Genomic DNA, 22061 nt, shown 5'->3' with positions numbered 1-22061 from the left:
TCTCCCCAACCACCCTTCCTTTAGAATCAAGATAGTCTGCAATGGAGATTCAGAATACAACAACCATTATAAACAATAAACATAAATTCACAAAAACTTAAACTTTTTCCTACAACTGCTACTCCTTTCAAAACATAATTCCTCTGTTGGGCAGGAAAGCACTATTTTCAGAAAAAGCCCAGCAAGACCTAAATTGATGGTTCAGATAGCATAAAAAACTCAATGAAAAATTAAAAACTGGAGAAATATCACATTTCCATGGATACGAAGTTAATCAACAACATATCATCTTTTCCCACAACGTTTATGCTCACAAACCAACAGTCCAAATGCCTTGCAGAGAACACTCTTTTTTCTAATTTAAATATAAGATGTGCTTCTGCTGGTAGAAGTACTGAGACCCATGGAAACAGGGTCAATGATTGGGTCACAGAAAAACATCCTTTCAGAACCATTCAGCTGGTTCTGAACTCTACAGTGGCAAATCATTTCTAGAGGAGTTATTTACATATCCAAACAGACTGAAACCTTCACCCTTTCCTGATGACAGATCTTAGTTAAAACTATTTTTTTAAAGTGTAATTGTATAATGTTACCATGGAAGTCTTAGCATAACTACTTTGTACCTTGAAACTCTACTTCACAGTTGATAAACAGTTCTGTCACCTGAATTTTCAAATTTTCTTTTAAAGTGCCAATATAAATTCCAACATTTCTCAATGCTCTAATATTTAAGAAAAACAAAAACAAAAAAACCACAAAATTAAACATTGTATCTTGAAAAAACCCAACAACCTACCTTTAAACTAGACTCATAGTCTGTGTTCACTTTGAACATAAGCCCAAGTCGTAAATGAATTTCCTTGGCTCGACAAAAGCTGGGATCAACATAAAGCACCTCCTGAAATGCTTTAATTGCCCTGAAAGAATATAGACATAAGATATCTTAACTTTTTAACACGTGCATGAATTCTTGCTTGGTAGTACATTGAAACTTCTGTTTTATGCAATATTGTTTTAAAGGAAATGTTGGTTTTATAAAAATGATGTTAATAAATACTAAAAAAGTAAAATTGAAAAGGGGCATATGGACCTTTTATATAATTAAACGTATATAATCTAATTTGATATAAAGGGGAAGGAAGATAGGTTGAATTTATTCTAAATTATTCAAACAGACAGTATTTCATGGTTTAATCAAATTATCAGTAGAAATAACTGATTTCATTGTTTCTGAAATTTCCTAGAGGAAAACAGGGTGGGGCAAACAGGAAAGTTTTTAAGGATATGGGATTAATCTTGTTTCTGGTCTACTCTATAAAAATAAGTCTTCTTTCTAAAAGTTTACATTTTTGTCTTTCATATTTAGGCTTACAAACCATCTGTACCTTATCTTTTATACTATGTGCGGTTAAGAGACGGTCTTCATATTTTCCAAACTGATATCCAATAGTACCTGCACCATTTGTAGAAATGACCATCCTTACTCCAAAACTCTATGTTGCTACTGTGTCCTAAATCAAATACCCATATTTGTGTAGGTCTACTTCTCTATTCCATTCCGCTTTTCTTCGTCTATCAGTTCATCTTTGCCCCAAATTCACATTGTATCTTTTATAAAAGGTTTTGATCACCAATAGAACAAGTTCAGGGGTTGGGGAAAGAAACACTTTTCATTGAATACATTATTATATTGTTTAATTTGATCATATGACTGTATTGCCTACTCAAAAATAAATATTAAAATAATGACAAAGAAAAATGTCTACTTTGAATTTTGAAGGTTATATCAGATATAACAGTATATTCAGTATCATTTTAGGTTCCTCTACATGATTTAAAGCTTCTTCCAAGCACAAGCTAATATATTATTTGCAAAACTTTTAATCAATTATCTCTACCCCTACAGACCTTAAAGTGGCTATTTAGAATCTTAGATGCTTTCAAAACAAAAACAATCTTTTGTATAAAATAGTTCGAAACATCATAGCCACAAAATAGAGCAAAATAATACTTCATGTATTTAGTAACTTTACTTTCATCAATTCATACATTATTTACTTCCCAAAAAAGTGTGAATGGTTATGTACACTTTTGCTATAAAATTAAGAGTCCTAAAAGGTAGTGTTTATTGCAGATGGCAGTGAGGGGTGGAACACAGGTCTGGCATCAGACACCTTTACCCTGATTATGACAGTACTTTCTTCTGAAGGGGAGCTGGGTATCCATCTGTTAGGTGGATTTTTAAGTAGGTGGGGTATGTGTGTTATTATCTGATGTATATAGGCTTTGAGGCAGGAGAGGAGAGTTAAAGCACTGACAGGCAAAAACTGTGGTAAATTACCATTCTCATTTAAAGGCAGCTTCCTACTTAATCAATGTACACTTAGGGGTTGGGGCAAGTCACATGTTTGGAAAAGGCATCAAAAGGGTTAGGACGAGGACAACTGCAGCAATAAATGCTGCCAATTAAAACATATGGTGTGACTGGGAAAGGGTATACAAAGACTTTTAGAAGCTTCTGGGGTGATAGCAGTATTTTATTTCTTGATGGAGGTGGTGATTACATGAATGTTTATTTTATAACAACATGTTAAGATATACAATGACGATTTATGCATTTTTCTGTAGGTATGTTATATTTTATAATAATAAAATTATGGATAATGCTTCTTAACCTTACCTTATAGGACCAGAAAACTCTCTAATGGAATGGGTCAGAACTAAGCAATGTCCACACATGCCAATAAAAAACCCAGGCAGGCCTGAGTCAAAGATATGAAAGAAAAAGAATGAAAGTGGAAAAGAATAAAGAAATAACAAAGAATTCAGGAAAGGAAAAAGGTATAACAAAGGGTATGTCAGGAAGAGAAGGAGAAGGAACACAGTACAATAACAGCCCCTCAGGTGCAATATTTCCTACTCTCAGTTTCTATTTCTAGCCTTTTCCCTAAACACAGTATTTGTGGATATGTTTTACTCCATGGGTGCCTTTAGCACAGACATCTTTTCCACTTAGTTCACAATGTCACACGGGCGCAAAGAAACATGGGTTTAACATGTTCTCTATGTCTGTTAACAAACTGAGGTTAAAAAAACACACTGTTAATCTATAAGCAAAAAACACATGTTCCAAATAACAGCAGTTGTCTACGTTTACTCTTTAGGGACTATTAAGTGCCCAGGACAAGGTGCAACCTATATATATATAATCAAAGTTCTCCTCGTTGTTCTTTCTAAGTTTATCTCTAATCGAAAACCTTATAGACCCAATCTTCTGCTTCTGTATCTCATTACTAGATTACTGAAATAGTCTCCTTAAGGACTTTCCTTGCTCTGCTCTGGCTTGTACATATTCCCTCAAACGTGTGGCTCCTGTGATTGCCTAACAATTATGATACTATAAATAAAATCTCCATGTTGCACTTAAGATGGGTGAGCAGTACTTATTCAACTCCATTTCTTCTTCTACCCCTATTATTGCTCCTCCTCAGCTATAAACTGGCTTATCTCAGGAATTCTTAAATACTGGTTCTCCTGACTTCACTGCTTTTCCTTACTAATTCTCCTGATCTCTAATATTTTGATTCATCTGCTGCCCTCTAAATCCACTATTATCGTCAAGACACACCACCCAAACTGGTCAACGACAATTTTTGCTTAGTGTAAACCAGCAGTTAGGTCTACTTTACGATCAAATCATTTCATTCACTACCTATCAGTGTGCTGTCTCCAGTTTTTCCAAGTGTATTCCTTGAGGCCTATATTTCTCTTCTATGTTTAATATCCTAAAATAATACAGCAAAGGGTTTAAATTTAATAGATGTTTACTGGTGCCATCACATTTACAGTTAATTGATGGGACTTCTTTACTGATCAGTTCTTCTAACACAAAACACATTATTCGAACATGTAAGTTCATTTCCTTTTCTAAACTTTTCCATGTTCTTCTCCTGTGTGCGTCTTCAGGTTTATCCATCCCAAGAAAAACAAGTAAATAAATAAGAAATAAAAACACTGGGGGAGGGGGAGAAGGAAGTACAAGGGAAGGTGGATTTGGAGTTAAGAGTTTAGAGTTAAGAGTTGAGGGAGTGGGAGGGTAGAGAAAATAGGTAACACTCAGACTACATTCTAATTTTGGTCATCAGCTTACTGCATTCATATTTCACCAAAATGCAGGTGGCCACAACATGATCTCTATGGCACAAACTAGACTAAATCATTAACACATTCAATTTCTGTAACCTCAGAATTCTGACTGATGGAATTTTAGAACATGAGAAATAGCTACCAGAAACCATAAATACTTTTATGATACAATTCCCTGGAAAGGTTTACAGTTTTCAAATACTTAAAGCATATTCTCTAACGAAACAAAAGAAATGCACATTGCTCTGCATGGTATCATTGGCATTTTTCTTAAAATCTGAAAAATATAGTTTTTATATCATCAAAATAGTTTCTATAGATTTTCAGTTTAAAGGATTTTTCATTTAATGTTTGCCACTGTTAACCATTTTAAAAAGAAAATGATATAAAGCTAAAACCTCAATAACACTACCTACAAAAAACATATACATGTGCTGAATATATTTCACAATGGTCATTTTTAATAAGACTTCCACAAAGTCATTTTTAAAGCCTCCTCTAAAACTATAGTAAAAATAATAGTATTAATATTCTTAGCACAGTTCCAGTACATTTGGAAAGACACATAATAAAACTTTAAGTTGGCTGGGCATGGTGGCTCATACCTGTAATCCCAGCACTTTGAGAGGCCAAGGTGGGTGGATCATGAGGTCAAGAAATAGAGACCATCCTGGCCAACATGGTAAAACCCCATCTCTACTAAAAATACAAAAATTAGCTGGGCGTGGTGGCACGCGCCTGTAGTCCCAGCTACTCAGGAGGCTGAGGCGGAAGAATAGCTTGAATCCAGGAGGCAGAGGTTGCAGTGAGCCTTGATTGTGCCACTGCACTCCAGCCTGGCGACAGAGTGAGACTCTGTCTCAAATAAATAAATAAACAAATACATACATACATACATACATACATACATACATACATACATACATAAAATAAAATCAATAAAACTTTAAGTTCTCTGAGGCTAACAGGCTGAACAAGAGATTTCTCACAGAGATATATGAAGGGATAAATCAACTAATTCCACAAATTTTCATACTAATAAAAGAATATTTTAGCTCTAATTTAGTTATAACACATACATACACAACACAGATATACATATATATTAGGAAATTTAGAAGTTGTTTCTAAATAATTAGAAACATTTGATGAAGTAAGGGACAGGTAGGTAAGATTTTAAAAGGTTGAGATGGAAGAAGGCAAAAGTCACATAGGTTAAAAAAAATGCTTAAGATGTTTTCAGGGAAATGTTAATACACTGTGACTGGCACAAAGAATATATTAATATTTAGGGGAGCAGTAGGCTAGAAGGATCATTTGAGGTTGAATCAGAAATGACCTTAAATGTGAGGCTAAATTAGAAATGTCATACCCTGGATTATTCACACTGACAGTTGCTAATATATCACCTGTCCTGGTTCTTTTCTCCTCTCTAGCCACTCTTCATTTCATCACTTCAGGAGTGGGATTATTTTCTTTCCCCTACCCTATTGCAAGATTTATGTTTTTATTCACAATTTCCCTGAAGCCTAATTAATCAAAGCCCTTCCAAAATTTATCTGGCAATCTATGTATCACTGTTTAAGTGTAACTTTATCAGAACTGCCTTAAATCTGCTATTTTCCAAAATAAAAGTATATATAATAAACTCAAAACATGTTAACATTAACTGCTTAATTTCAATGGAAATGTAAGAGTATGTTTGTATCATGATAGCTCAAAAATACAACGTTTGCCAGGCTCCATGCTAGACAAGCCTCAGAATCAATGGTACCACCATGCATTAGGTCTATGTTGCATTATTCTTTCGTTCCATCAAAAAGCTGTAAGAACATCATTAAAACCACTATTCTTTTTCTTTACTGAACCCAAAGCAGTGACTATACAGGAGAGTAGAAATTCCTACACCCCTAAGAACACTTGTGACTAGTACAGTGCTATGAAAATGAATCCTACAGAAACTTTACACCAGGCTCCGTGGCTCACATCTATAATCCCAGCACTTTGGAAGGCCAAGGCAGGAGGACTGCTTGAGCCCAGGGGTTCAAGACCAGCCTGGGCAACACAGTGAGACCTCATCTCTACAAAAAAAAATACAAAAAATTAGCCAGGCATAGTGGTTCAAGCCTTCAAGCCTGTAGTCCAAGCTATTCGGGAGGCTGAGGTAGAAGGATCACTAGAGCCCCGGGAGGTTGAGACTTCAGTGGGCCGTGATTGTGCCACTACACTCCAGCCTGGGTGACAGACTGAGATCCTGTCTCAGAAAAAAAAGAAAAGAAAAGAAAAGAAAGAAAAAAGAAGAGAAAAGAAAAAAGAAAACTTTAGTAGTAATTTGTTAATATTTCTGTCTTTCTGAATTCATTTCTACCTCATTCTCCTAATCCTTTTTTATGTCAAAGTAATAATTATCACATTTCCTTATTAAGCCTGTCAATTATATTTGGGGGCTTAATTTCCAAAATCCTATGCTTCTAGCACAGTATCTCTTACATTTGCTGCCATAAGACCATTCTGATATTGATCAATGGAATGGAAAGAAGGAAAAAGGTTACAGGACAGAGATAGTTAATAAGGATTCTTAGGAAGATATATTTAGAGAGATGGCTATAAGCTATACAAGGAAGAATGATTTCTATTGTACTGACTTTATCTTTTCCCCCAACTATCTTTTTTTAGTCTAACTTTTCCTTGCTTTGTATTTCACTTACTCTCACCCTAGGATATAGGTTTCCTTCCAAAGGCAAGGAGCTCAGTTCAAGGTATCCCCTAGCAAAGAGCCACCTTAATGAATAAGAACAAGTGAATGCAGGGGCTTGCATGCATGCACATGTAAAGCAATGGCTTTTTAGAGACTGGTTTCTAGCACTCTGCTGCATATATTTTACACTCTGCTTCTATGTCTTCCTTTATCCTTCTGGGCATCTTTTAAGTTTGGTCCCAGATTACTGAGTAAAATAACAGCATAGCTGTTACCGTAAGTCCAATGAGGATGGAACAGTTGACTGGGCTCCTCTGTCTAAGAAGAGGCTGCAACTGATACTGGAAAAACTGACCAAATAATTGAACTATCTAGAGGCTGACCAATAAAATCAACTCTGAAATAAAAAATAGGTAGCATAAGATGACAATAGGTTAAGAGTAACACTATAACTAATAAAATTGCTCTCAATATTTTAAGTCACCAACTCAGACACACGTTGGTCACACACATTATCATAAAATGCTTAACCTCAACAAATGCCAACAGACACAATTAGCAAATACCAAATTTTACTTAAATTATAAATGTACCAGAGATACAACACTCTGAAACATCATAGGCAGATTCTTCATGCTGACAATACAAAACAAGAACCCATACTCATCCCCAGAAACATTTCTCAATAGATCCCAAAGAACCTGACATGTAACTAAAACATTCCTGATCCCAGTAATCAGCAAGTATCTACAAATAAAACACAAAAGTAGTTTTAACCTAAATAAGCTCCAATCAATTAAGGCTGTACTCTAAAACTATCACCAAGCACCTACCCCATACTTTCTAATTTTATAGCTGTTAAAGAAATATCAAGTTAAAGCAAAAATGTGAGGCAAATTTGTGAAAGAACATTTGATTAGCAAGAGAAAAACACAGCCAGAGTGAATTCATAAGATAGGGTGTGAGATGTATCATTTTAGGAAGCAGCTATAAGAATTGAAACTCAAGACATGAGAAAATGATGGTAACCAGAACAGGATCAACAGAGCAGGGGGCACTTATTAATGTAGACATTGCATTGTCCTTATATCATTCAGTTTCATTTCTTAGGTCAACTGAAAAATATAGAAATCATATGTAGATAAGGAATCACAGCTACAAGCCTGCTAACTTAACATGGCCACATGCTTATTAAAGCAATCAACATTTGAACTATTGACAGGTTCACCTCATTACTAATTTTATGTTCTTAACCCCAGTACACAGAGAGGCTTACAAATTGCCATAGGTATGCGAAAACTGGCTGGTATGAGGTAGAACAGAAGAGTTCCTCCCCTCAGGTGTCACCTAAATTATTTCTAGTTGGCCATAAAGATTATATCAATGTGCTCAAGTGAACAATGACAAATACTGATTAAATAATAACCACCTCTCAATCTTAAAACCTGGGGACAGAGTACAATAAAATATTTGATTGGAGACTATGAGCATAAGCTTGCTTCTGCCACTCAACAGTTATGTAATACTGACTAACACACACACACACCCCCTTGCTTTCTCCATCTACAAAATTAAGGGGGAAAAACTAAATTATCTCTAAGACTACTTCTAATTCTAGAAGTTTAGAATTTGAATTCTATAAGTAGGCTATTAAAGAAACTGAAAGATTTTAAAACAGTCCTAATCTATCTTTGGTTTTAAATACAATACACTGAACATGAAGTTAGGAGGCTTTATTTAGGATAATTTAATAGAGAATAAAATTACAAAGCTTCTTCATAAAAATCAATTATACCTTCCTAAGATTTACAAAGAAAACCAGTGATCTGAATCATTATAATACACTATATACACACAGGTATTCTCTAACAAAGCAGTGCTTCCACACATGATCAAAAGCCAACAAGACCAAAAGCTAAGAGGGAAGAAAAAGGATACTAGGAAAAACCATCCATGTATAAAGCCTCCTCTTTAGGGAAACCATATAAAATCACTGTCAATGCATATGTAAATGCTCTGTAATAAGTATTCAGGGTGCCCAATAGGTATATGACAGAGTTGTAACATTTTGCCACTCAATCACCTTCCTTTGGACTCCCACAGAACTCACCCGTGAGCTTAAAATTCTGGAGCACAGAAGGGACTCTGAAAAGGTCAGATACACTAAAAATAAAAAATGTCACCAGGTGTGGTGGCTCACACCTGTAATCCTAGCATTTTGGGAGGCTGAGGTGGGCGGATCACTTGAGGTCAGGAGTTCGACACCAGCCTGGCCAACATGGTAAAACTCCGTCTCTACTAAAAATACAAAAACATTAGCCAGGCATGGTGGCGGGCGCCTGTAATCCCAGCTACTTGGGAGGCTGAGGCAGGAGAATCGCTTGAACCCGGGAGGCGGAGGTTGCAGTGAGCCAAGATCGTGCCACTGCTCTCCAGCCTGGGCGACAGAGTGAGACTCTGACCAAAAAAAAAAAAAAAAAAAAAATCTACATTGGGTTGACATTTTATAAAATGTACTGTATCTCACTTGATCATCAAAACTCTATAGGAAAGGCAAGTGACTGCTATGTAGTTTTGTTTTTTAAACAAATGATGATGCCAGCGTGGGGGCTCATGCCTGTAAATCTCAGCACTTTGGGAGGCTGAGGTGGGAGCATGCCCTGAGGCCAGGAGTTCAAGACCAGACTGGGCAACATAGGGGGAGGCCCCATCTCTACAAATAAAAACAAACTCTCTGGGCATGGTGGCATGTGCCTGTGGTCCCAGCTACTTGGGAGGCTAAGGTGGAAGGACTGCTTGAACACAATAGATTGAGACTGCAGTAAGCTGCAATCTCGCCACTGCACTCCAGCCTGGGCAACAGAGTGAGACCCTGTCTCAAAAAATAAATAAATAAATAAAATAAATAAATAAATAAATAAACAAACTAAAGAGGAAACAGACCTAGAGAAGTTATTTAATTCAAGATCAAACTAAGTGGCAATGCTGTGACAACAATACCAATCTTTCAACTAAAACTATATGCCTTTTTACCCCATTAGTGCATACTATTGTCTGGTAAACAGAAAAACAACAATGGGGCAAAGGCCATAATATTACAGGGTACTTCACTTTACAGTTTAGAAAATCTTATATATTACTATTATTATATTTAATCTCCAACTCTGAAGTGGTACTATTCTACAGAGAACTGAGAGTTTATGAGTTGGTGCCTAGTTACTGGATATTGGAAAGTGCTAGCTGGTATGTGGAAGGGAGAAGTGGTCAATCTTGTCTAGAAGTCTGAAAACTAGCCATCATAGACCATTTACCCACATATCTTGACTTCTGAGATCACAGTGATTCACCAGTTCAAATAACTTGGGGAACACCAGTCCATAATGAATGACTAAGAAATTCCAAAAAGCTTTCTAATCTAAGCCTTCTTCAACAGAATCTTATACTAGATTCTTTCAGGAAAACATACAACTCTAAAAATCTAAGGTGAGCCAACACCCTTCAAGGAACAATCTAATCATTTCAAAAGATTACTGAAAAGTGTAGGTTTAATGACACTAAATTTTCTATTTATTACACACACACACAAAAAATCAAGCACAAACAAAACAAGCAAACAAGCCATTTACTGAAAATGACTGAATTACTGGTTTTATGTCAACTTACCACTGAAATGCATTATAATGGAAGTAGACCAAACCAAGACCATATAAAAAGGCAGCATTCTGTAAAGGAAGGGAAAAAGATTTTTAGGAAAAATACTTGTATCTAACATATATGATGTTATTATTGTAAAATACGGTATCCAAGATGTTTTAAGTCCTAAAATTCTATCATGCATTACAATATATTTTTAAAACACCAAAATAACAGTGATCAGATGGCACAGATTCCAATCAACTTAGAGAGGTATTCCAGCCCTGAAATAAAAATATTTACTAGCAGAAATTCTATGGTCAAATCTAAAATTAAAAATCTATTCTTCAGGAATAAGAGAATGCTCAGCCTATGTTATCCTATTCTCTCTTGCTTGTATCTACATTCTTCCTCTGGTTCTTTTTGTTTCTTGAATTGGATTTAATTTTATATTTAGTACTGCCAGGAAGGTAGTTAGAATTCAAAGGAAATGCACAGTATAAACCTAAAACAAATTTTAGTATTTAAGAAAAATAGCATCATGCCAATCATCACCTAGGCATTAACATCTTGTGCTTTAAATATCATTGACTCCTTTTGCAGTATGAAACAAGACATGTGTCAACACTTATCCTGACTAACTTTGACCTCTGGACTCCTAATAGGATCCAGCTATTTATATAATTTATATTTATATAACTCCATGATTTTTTTTCTTTTTTTTTTAAAGAGACAAGGTCTCGCTCTGTCACCCCAACGCGATCACAGCTCACTGCAGCCTCAAACTCCTGGGCTCAAGCAATCCTCCCACCTCAGTCTCCCAAGTAGCTGGGACTAAAGGCATGTGACACCATGCCCAGATCCTACTCCTTATTTTCAAAAACAGCAAATGTTTGAGTACCCAGTATATGTTTTATCAATAACCAAGCAAATCTATTTTAGTAAATCTTCCCTATTAAAAAAGAAGGTAAAGCTTTCATACTGATCTGTGTGAACAAATTTCTTCTTCGAAATTATAAGCTTCAAATTACAAATGTCTCTGATTTCTAAAACTTCAAAATTTTAACTATTATTACAATGCTTGTCATGCTGCCTGCGTTGCATCTCCCAAGAAAGACTGTGAGATAAAGGTTTTTGTACAAGTAGTTTATTTGAGAAGTATCTGAGGAAATACCTTTAATGAAGTAAAGAAGTGAGTCAGGAAAGGAAAGTATGCCAATAAAGGATGCATTATGGAGCTGATTATGACTCTAGGCAACTGGGACTCAAGCCTGCTGGAGATCTCTGGGAGACAGTATGGAACATTTCTCAGAGTCATCTTGCCCTAAGTATGAAGGAACTAGGGTAATTATACTACAACTTCTGTAATTCATTAGTTGAGAAAAAGAACCAATGATGTTTAAAGCCCAAAATGTAAACAGCTTGTCAGAGGCATTTGAACCAGAAGAACTCCATCTTGAATAGGGGCTGGGTAACGTAAGACTGTGACCTACTGAGCTGCATTCCCAGGAGGTTAGGCATTCTTAGTCACAGGATGAGACTGGAGGTTGGCACAAGATACAGGTCACAAAGACCTTGCTGATAAAAACAGGTTGCAGTAAAGAAGCCAGCCAAAAGCCACCAAAACCAAGATGGCAACAAAAGTGACCTCTGGTCGTCCTCACTGCTCATTATACACTAATTATAATGCATTAGTATGCTAAAAGACACTCCTAGCAGCACTATCACAACGTCAGAACTCTGTAAGGTCTAAAAAGGTGAGGAACCCTCAGTTCTGGGAATTGCCCACTGCTTTCCTGGAAAACTAATGAATAATTCACCCCTTGTTTAGCATATAATCAAGAAATAACTGTAAGTATTGTCAGATGAGCAGATATTCCTTTACTTTCTTAATAAACTTGCTTTCACTTTACTCTGGATTATCCTCGAATTCTTTCTTGCGTGAGATCCAACCTGGGGTTTGGATCAGGACCCCTTTCCAGTAACAAGCTGAGTGACTTTTCTTGCTTTTTAAAAATGCTAAAGTTTGTCCTAAAATTATATTGTGCATTTCCTTTGAATTCTAAGTATCTTTCTAGAAACACTAAGTTTCTTAAATACATTGTCAAATGTAAAAATATGGTAATTTCATTTTATTAAGTCCTCATTACCCCCAATTTTCCGAATGAGGAAATTATATTACAGAAGTATTCACAAATTCCAGGAGTCACAAAGGTCTCAGACAACATCCATTTTTAAATTTCCTGTTTAAATTTTTTTTAATTTTAAATTTAGTTGAAACTGTTTTTAATCAGGATCATTCATCTACTATCCCATCCCCTGAAATAATCTGAGCATTTACTTGGTGCCAGGGACAATTCTCAAGGGTTAAACAAACCAATCTGAATAAAATATACTTCCCCTGCTCTCAAGAAGTATGCAATCTAGAGGGTGGGGGAGAGGAGGCATGGATATTCAGAATGTGGTAAAAGTGGTAATAGTTAATCCAGAGTCATTTAGTGTTCTACCTAAAAAGTCAAGATTTGAAAGACAATGGGGGTGTGGGGGTGAGGGTGGTTGTGAAAGGAAAGGGAGCAACATCTTAACATCTATTTAGGCAACTGCCTGGACAGGGTGGAGTGAGCGTACTATAGAAATATGAGTTTATTTTTATTTTTTTTATTTTTTATTTTCTTTGAGATGGAGTTTCGCTCTGTCGCCCAGGCTGGAGTGCAGTGGTGCGATCTCGGCTCACTGCAAGCTCCACCTCCCGGGTTCACGCCATTCTCCTGCCTCAGCCTCCTGAACAGCTGGGACTACAGGCGCCCGCCACCACGCCCAGCTAATTTTTTGTATTTTTAGTAGAGACGGGCATTTCTGATTTCAGGACACACTGTACATTCTCCCAACTTCATTCTTCTCCCTCTAGGAAATCTTATTCAATCCCCACCACCCTATAAATTCTATTAATCATTCAAGATCCATTTAAATGCCACCTTCCCCATGAAAGCTTTGCTTCTTGTCCCACCTCAAACTAGAGGTGATTTTTCCAACCTCTAAATTTGGTCTTACTGCAACGTCTCTATCATCTGACATTATTATGTAACAGTAAAAACTTAGTTTTATGCAATATCTAACATCAACTCTTTCAAAAGGTTCTAAAAAACCTTATGTGGTGGTAGAGGGCTTCATTTATAGAATGAAGAAACTGCATCAGAGAATAAGCAATTTACTCAAGGAAACAGGTACTAACTAGCAGACATAGGAACTGAAACTAGGTCAGTCTCCAGAGCTCACTCTTAACTATTACACCATATATTTGTTACTTGTGTGTTGACTAAACTCCATCCGATCAAATAAAAATGCCATAAAGGCAGGAGTGATCACTGCCTGTATTCCTTGTTATCACCTAGCACAGGGCGCACTTCCATAGAGTAGATGCCCAAAGATTTACTAATCCAATCACCCAGTACAAGGGGACTTCAAAAAGTTCATGGAAAAAAACAGAATTAAAAGATAAAAATATAAACATTATTTCTCAACATAAGCTCCATCAAGTTCAAGACACGTTTGTAAGCAATGACACCAGCCATTTAGTCCAGCCCTAAACAACTGAGGGGTCCTGGGGGATGTAGCCATGTCAATGCAGTCTTTTTTACATTATTTACTGAAGAAAAAAGTGGGTGCCCTTTAAAGATTTTACTTTAAAGATTTTTTAAAATAGGAAATAAAAAGAAGCTGGAAGGAGCCAAATCAAGACTGTATCATTTCCCATGAAAACTCTCAAAACATTGCCCTTGTTTGATGAGAGGACTGAGTAGAGGCACTGCCATGGTGAGGCTTTTCTGGGCATTTTTCTGCTAAAGCTTTGGCGTTCTTAAAACATACTCGTAATAAGCAGAGGTTATTGTCATTCTTTGGCTCTCCGGAAAGTCAACAAGCAAAATGCCTTGAGAATCCCAAAAAACTGTTGTCTTGATCTGTGCTCTTGACCGGTCCACTTTCACTATGACTGGATCAATTTCTACCTCTTGGTAGCCATTGCTTTGATTGTGCTTTGTCATTAAGATCATACTGGTAAAGCCAAGTTTCACCTCCTGTTACAATCCTTTGAAGAAATGCTCAGGATCTTTTTTTTTTTGAGATAGAGTCTTGCTTTGTCCCCAGGCTGGAGTGCAATGGTGTGATCTCGGCTCACTGTAACCTCCACCTCCGGGGTTCAAGCAATTCTCCTGACTCAGCCTCCCAAGTAGCTGGGACCACAGGTGTGTGCCACCATGCTGTTAGATATGAGTTCTAAATTTCTTTTCAAAGAATCAATATGTCAGTATGTTCAATCCTTTACCTTCTACTTTTAAACTTCCTCACAAAGCAACCTTTTTCGATTACCTGCTCCACCCTGACTCATTCTGATTACTGATTGCACCCTGACTCATTACCTGCTCTGTCATAACCATTTTTCCCACCAAACCACTCACCCCGTCACTCTCTTTAAATCAGCCAATTGGAATTAGTTTAGCCTGGGCGGTCTAACCCTAGCCAAGAGGGGAATGACACAGCAGTAGGGGCTACGTGTGTCAGGGATAAGAACCCCCTCCCCTCCCTTGTCCAAGTGTGCGCTCACCATTGCTTCTATAGAAGGCACACCCTTCTATAGAAGTATCTTGTCTTGCTGAGAATTAAAAAGAAAATTTTATATTCGAGTGCTATTTCTTTTGCAGCACTGAAACTTTATGTATAACAATTTGGGGGCTCACCCATGATTACATTCCCCTCCCGACAGTCTCTGGTTCTCCCTCATGAGGAGGCATGCCCTGCCCCTTGTGGTCACCTCAGGGGTGAGAAATCAGAACTCACCCAGTGCGAGGAATAACCCAAGCTCTTGGCAACATGGCGGCGGGGGGGGGCGCAGGGCTGGGGGGGACTGGCCAGTAACCTAGCTTAAAGGATTCTCACATACCACACTGATGACTGTACACAGACCAAGGAAGGAGAAGCCACAGGAGCCGGTAAAGTATTTCCTTGGTGGTAGGGACCAAGGTAAGAAAGCCGGGTGGTGGGTGGTGGGTGGTGGGTGGTGGGTGGTGGGGGGTGGGGGGGGTGGGGGGGTGGGGGGGTGAGGTGAAGTACTCCTTGGTTGGGGTGGCTTACAGGTTAAAAAGAGGTGAGACATGCCCATTGGAGGGGACTGAACTTCACACGAACCTCCAGTAGTAGAAAAGGTGAGAAATTTCCAGTGGGGGAAATTGAGCCTCCCCACAAAAGGTGACAAATTTTCAGTAAGGGAAATTGAACCTTGAAACTTACCCCAAAACCATCAAGATGGGAAATAACCCAAGCAAGACAGGGAGCAAGAGGGATAAAGATGGTAACAAAGATATCCCCCCAGATAGCCCCCTAGGTCTCAAGCTAAAACACTGGAAGGATAACGAAAGGACTAAACATAGGAAAAAGCAACAAATGATAAAATATTGCTGTTTAATTTAGACTCAAAGACCCATCCTCAAACCCTCAATCTTCTGGCCAAAGTTTAGATCGAATGAGGATGTAATGTGTCAGCTTCTAATCCGACATGTTAATGATAAAAGTCGAGTGTCTCAGAAGAACTAGGCTATGCCCTCTGTTGGAGGCATGGACCTGCCCTCCTTTTTCCCTTAAAAACAAATAGGGAAGAACCCAATCTGGCACCTCAAAATGAAAAGTCAGAGGAGCCAGCTCTCATGCCTAAAGACTCCAGCGCATGGGATCCCCTAGACTATCTTCCCCCACTCAGTGTCCCCAATCTTTCCCCTCAGACAGCCACTGCCTCCTCAGATCCCATTCCAAATTCCACCTCCACTCACGTTATCCCTCCTCCTTATAACTCTGACTCTTGGGAATTACCGTCCCACCAGCCCATTCCCTCCCAACCTAAAGACCCCTCTCTAAAAGGACTCCAGCGTGAGGTAGAACAATGTAAAAAAGATATTCAGAATTTCCCATTTCCCTCCATACCTAAGAGGCCCAACCCTCTTCCCTTTGAAAGAGGTACCATAAGGAGGGGGGGGCCACTGGCTTTGTAAATGCTCCCTTAACCAAAGTCTAGAATTTTAAAAAGGAGCTTAAACCACTACTAGATAACCCTTATGGAGTGGCAGACCAAATTGCCCAATTCTTAGGACCTCAGTTATACACTTGGGTCGAGTTAATGTCCATCTTGGGCATCCTCTTTTCAGGAGAAGAAAGGAGTATGATTTGTAGGGCTGCTATGGTAGTTTGGGAATGTGAGCATCCTCCTGGTGAAAACGTTCCTACCGCGGACCAGAAATTCCCCGCCTGAGACCCCTGGTGGGACAATAACAAAGCAGATCAACAGGAAAATATGCAGGATCTAAGAGAGACAATAATAAAAGGAATTCGGGAGTCAGTACCCCGAACCCGAAATCTTTCTAAAGCATTTGACATACAACAGGAAAAGGATGAAGGGCCTATGAGATTCCTAGACAGACTGAGGGAGCAAATGAGGCAATATGCAGGCCTCAATTTGGATGATCCCCTTGGGCTAGGAATGTTGAAACTCCAATTTGTCACTAAAAGTTGGCCAGACATTTCAAAAAAGTTACAAAACATAGACAGTTGAGAAGACCGTCCCCTAAGTGAGCTTCTCAGGGAAGCTCAGAAAGTATATGTGAAAAGGGATGAAGAAAAACAGAAACAAAAGACAAAACTTACGTTTTCTACCTTCCAACAGATGGCTCCAAACCCAGGTACTTCTAGACAGTTTCCAGGGAGCTAGAAACTATAAAGGGTCCAAACCCTCTTTTAAAGGACCCCAGTCTCCATCTGGAGGACCAAGGTCCTCATCTACCAGGCCCCCTAAAGAGTATGGTGGAGCAGGGTTAAAGAATCCCAGAACTAAGGAGGAAGGACAAGATAGGTGCTATTGATGTCGAAGAACAGGCCACTTCAAGAGAGGATGTCCTGAACTAAGAAAGGACAAAAGAAGCCCTTCCGCTCATGACTTTCAACGAAGAATAGGGAGGTCAGGGGCTCTGTCTCTTTTATCTTGAGTCCCTCTCCGGGGTAAAAGGGGAAAGAGAGGGGAGAACAGCAGCATAAGCGTCTGGCAGAGGCAGGGAAAAACCAGCAGAAAGGAAAGAGAGAGAGAGAAGCGGGGGTGGAAGAGGGGGTGGAAGGGGGAGAAGGGGGAGAAGAGAGAGAGAGGGGAGAGAGAGGAGAAGGCAGGGGAGAGAGGAAAAAAAGGCAGAGAGAGAGAGGAAGAGACAGAGAGACAAAGAGGGAGTCAAAGAGAGACAGAGAGAGGAAGAGACAGAGACAAAGAGGGAGTCAAAGAGAGAGACAGTCAAAGAGAGAAAGAAAGAGAGAGAGAGAGATAAGTAGTAAAGGAAAAAACAGTGTACCCTATTCCTTTAAAAGCCAGGGTAAATTTAAAACCTATAATTGATAATTGAAGGTCTTCTCCGTGACACTGTAACACTCCAATACCACCTTGTCAGTGTAAACAAGGGCATAGCCCAAAAGCACTGAGGCCACTGACAACTCGTAGCCTTCCTATCAAAAATCCTTAACCCAGTAACCCGCAGATGGCCCTAATACATTCAATCTGTAGCGACAACTGTTTTGCTAACACAAGAAAGTATGAGGCTATTCTGTTAAAAAAAAAAAAAAAAAAAAAAGAAGGATAATTCAACATTAACCACTAAAAATTCCCTTAACCCAGCAGGTTTCCTAACAGGATCTAAATCTTAATTACTGTACAAAGGTCCGACCAGACCTAGGAGGAACTCCCTTCAGGACAGGACGATAGACAGTTCCTCCCTCCTCCTGGGTGATTGACGGAAAAAGACACAATGGGTATTCAGTAATTGATAGGGCAACTCTTGTACAAGCAGAATTAGGAAAATTGCCTAATAATTAGTCTGCTCAAATATGGGAGCTGTTTGCACTCAGCCAAGCCTTAAAGTACTTACAGAACCAGGAAGGAACCATCTATACCAATTCTAAGTTAATTTGGACTAAACAAGGTCTTATTAATAGCAAAGGATAACTGAAATCCCAAACTTACAAGGTTTTCAACAAAAGTAAAGTTTGCTAAAAATTAACAGTGTAACATGTATTATCCTAACTTCTAATCTTGTGGCCTTAGGCAGTCTAGTCCACAGACATAAAGGAAGTTCACTTTGGAGAAGAATGAAAAGGGGGGGGGGGGCGGGGAGGGGAAGAATTTATATAAAAAGAATGTTATATGGTAAATTCTTGTCCTAAAATAAATTAACTGGTTGTTTAAAGAAAGGGATGTTTGCAACAAGTCAGAAAGTTGAGGTATGTCAAAGAATTGTCTGTGAAAGTCGTGAAAAAAAATGTTATAAAAGGGAATTTATGCAAGAAATGTTATATAATTTAAAAGTAATTAGGCCTCCTGAATGTAAAACTATTGAAGAAACAGTTTATGTGCAAGGTTTGTAAGGAAAGTAAAATATACCTTTGGTAAAAGGATTAAAAGGAGGCATAAGAATGTGCATTTTTACCTACATTAAAAGGTTAAAGAAATATATTTTGTTTTAAAGGTTTGAGCAATTTTTAAAATGTTAATTGTAAAGGAAATTCTGTGTGTAAACATACTGGCTAAAGTTAAAGAGGTATCATCCAGTCTTTCTGTGAACTGGACATTAAAATAAAAGCACAAAAGGTTTTTCTTAAAGCACTAACCTGCTCTTTAACAAAAATTATAAAAGGTTAAACAGAGTCTATAAAAATTTTACCTTATGGTCAGACATTAAAATTGGATAAATATGTCTACAAGGTTTTATTAAAACTGAGTTTAACATTAATAACACACTAATATAAAGGTGAAATTTAGCTTATCTAGTATAAAAATCATACAGGAAGCACTGTCAAATATAAAACGGTGTTTGGCTTTCTTCGGTCTAAAAACTAACAAAAATAGGTGCTAAGGGAAATTTCTCAGTAAGAAGGCACCAAGGGCTATAAAGACCACTGCTGATGTCCCCACATTTAAAACAAAAGATCAGTTTCTTAGAATTTATATACTTGGTTTATCTTCCACTTTCCTTTCCTTCAAAACTAAAAGTCTTTTAGCACAGGCACCACCCCTAGAATTTCCGGTAAACCAGCACCAGCCTGAGGATCACGTTCTCATCAAAGGGTGGAAAGAAGGAAAACTCAAGCAAGCCTGGGAAGGACCCTACCTTGTGCTGCTAACTACGGAGACTGCTGTTCCTACAGCGGAAGGGGGATAGACTCATCACACCCGAGGCAAGAAAGCACCGCTCCCTCAAGAGTCGTGGGCCATAGTCTCAGGGGAAAACACTATCAAACTAAAGTTAAGAAAAATTTAACTCTCTTTCATCTATTCTATTACTTTCTTCTTTCCCCGTTCTATTGCTGACCATCTAGTTATAACATAACCAAGTCAATTTTGCCTCAAACTATTGCATTTGATGCTTGCCTTGTTATACCCGTGGGTGCTTGCCAAGTCAAAGACAGCTCTCTACTTCAGAAAAGTACCTCTGTCCCTCCTGACTCTCCTCAGACTGGGCCTTAGTAAATTGGGACCACTTAATCCAGAAAGATTTCGATAAAGACCCCGGTGTCAACCAGGAGTCTTGCTCCCCAATGCAGAGCTTTTATGCTGTAGTTAGTCCAACATTCTGTGGAGCACTAAAGAACAAGAATGGACTGCCCCAACCGGTTTTTGTAATTTCCTAAAACCATACATTTTACTAGAAGGACAGCCCTCCCCACTGTCAGCTAAACCAGTGTAATTCTATACAGGTTATTATCTCAAACGCTCAAAGTTCTTCCCCTTTTCTAAGCCAGTTCCCTTCTTTAAGCCGGTTTTATGGTATGGGGGCTGAGGTTTCAGCAAACCCTATTAAATTCTTTAAAATGAGTTTCTTTGATCCCCTACTGCCTGCACCTTCCTCTAAGCCTCCTTCCAAAACCTCTCACAACAGAACAATTGCTCCTCCTCCATCTAACGACAAGACCAAGATAGCTATAGTAAAAGTTAAAGACTTAAAACAAACTTTGGCAATTAAGACAGGATATCAAGATGCAAATGCCTGGTTGGAATGGATCAAATATTCCGTCCACAGGTTGAACAAAAGCAATTGCTATGCTTGTGCGCATAGCAGGCCAGAGGCCCAGATTGTCCCCTTTCCACTAAGGTGGTCCTCCAGTTGACCTGGTGTGGGCTGCATGGTAGCTCTTTTCCAGGATTCTACAGCCTGGAGTAGTAAGTCATGCCAAGCTCTCTCTGCTATATCCCGAAGTCCGGCACCCTGCGGGTCAGCCCCCGAGGGCCATCCAGCTTCCATCTCCCAGCCCCCGAGGGCCATCCAACTTCCGTCTCCCAACACTAAGTTCACTTCGTGTCTCTCACGACAGGGAAGAAACGGCGTTCCTTGGAGACCTGAAGGGATGCAGTGAGCTTAAGAATTTTCAAGAGCTTATCAGTCAGTCAGCCCTTGTTCATCCCCGAGCAGATGTGTGGTGGTATTGTGGTGGACCTTTACTGGACACTCTGCCAAATAACTGGAGTGGCACTTATGCTTTAGTCCAACTGGCTATCCCTTTCACCCTGGCACTTCATCAACCCCTTTCACCCTGGCACTTCATCAACCAGAGGAAGGAAAAATAAGACATCGTACAGTGAGAGAAGCCCCTTATGGGTCTTTCGATTCTCATGTCTATTTAGACGCAACTGGAGTCCCACGGGGAATACCAGATCAATTTAAAACCTGAAATCAAATAGCTGCAGGATTTAAGTCAATATTTTGGTAGGTGACAATTAATAAAAATGTAGATTGGATAAACCACATCTACTACAACCAACAATAATTTATTAACTACACTAGAGATGCTGTTAAAGGAATAGCTGAACAACTAGGGGCAACTAGCCAGATGGCTGGGGAAAACAGGATAGCCTTAGACATGATATTAGCAGAAAGAGGAGGAGTTTGCGTCATGATGAAAACTCAATGTTGTACTTTCATCCCAAACACCACCACCACTGATGGAAGTATAACAAGGGCATTGCAAGGTCTGACTGCTCTGTCCAATGAGTTAGCCAACAACTCAGGGGTAAATGACCCCTTTACAGGATGGCTAGAAAAGTAGTTCAGTAAATGGAAAGGAATAATAGCCTCAATTCTTACTTCCCTCGCAGCCGTAATGGGTGTACTTATTCTTGTCAGGTGCTGTGTCATACCATGCCTCCAAAGGTTGATGCAGAGGCTCATAAAAATGGCACTTACTCAAACCTCCCTTAACTATCCTCCACCTTATCCAGAGAAGCATCTTCTTTTGGAAAATCAAGCCAAACAACTAAGCCAAGACATGTTTAAAAAAAGTTTGAAAAGAAAGCTGTGAGGAAATACAAGGGGAGGGGTTGTTAGATATGAGTTCTAAATTTCTTTTCAAAGAATCAATATGTCAGTATGTTCAATTCTTTACCTTCTACTTTTAAACTTAACTTCCTCATAAAGCAACCTTTTTCAATTACCTGCTCCACCCTTATTCAATCACCTACTCTACCCTGACTCATTTTGATTACCTACTCCACCCTGACTCATTGCCT

At 38.6% G+C, this 22061-nt stretch overlaps 1 protein-coding gene across 25 annotated transcripts in view, besides 1 other annotated feature; it reads right to left on the bottom strand.

Moving 5' to 3' along the window:
- KDM6A (lysine demethylase 6A) overlaps positions 1–22061 on the bottom strand; it is a 239592-nt gene that overhangs the window by 91250 nt on the left and 126281 nt on the right. For 24 of the 25 annotated variants that reach the window (NR_111960.2, XR_007068200.1, NM_001419809.1 and 21 more), the window contains 2 exons: positions 10511–10569; positions 800–920 (listed from right to left, as the gene is read on the bottom strand). Coding sequence is in view for 22 of the 25 variants with exons in the window: in NM_001419809.1 (NP_001406738.1) it covers positions 800–920; positions 10511–10569 (180 nt within the window). In the remaining 3 variants the exon portion in view is untranslated. The remainder of the gene's footprint in view (positions 1–799; positions 921–10510; positions 10570–22061) is intronic. The other variant, NM_001291421.2, reaches the window with a different exon arrangement.
- Positions 8013–8132: an enhancer, noted in NCBI's record as "active region_29568". NCBI's record gives its function as "activates an Ori minimal core promoter by ATAC-STARR-seq in GM12878 lymphoblastoid cells {active_cell/tissue: GM12878}" and the evidence as "EXISTENCE:reporter gene assay evidence [ECO:0000049][PMID:35858748]".

Source organism: Homo sapiens, chromosome X (assembly GCF_000001405.40).
Source record: "Homo sapiens chromosome X, GRCh38.p14 Primary Assembly".
In the NCBI taxonomy this organism is placed as follows: domain Eukaryota; kingdom Metazoa; phylum Chordata; class Mammalia; order Primates; family Hominidae; genus Homo; species Homo sapiens.
The sequence above is the reverse complement of the archived record's forward strand: the minus strand, read 5'-3'. Positions and strand labels throughout refer to the sequence as shown.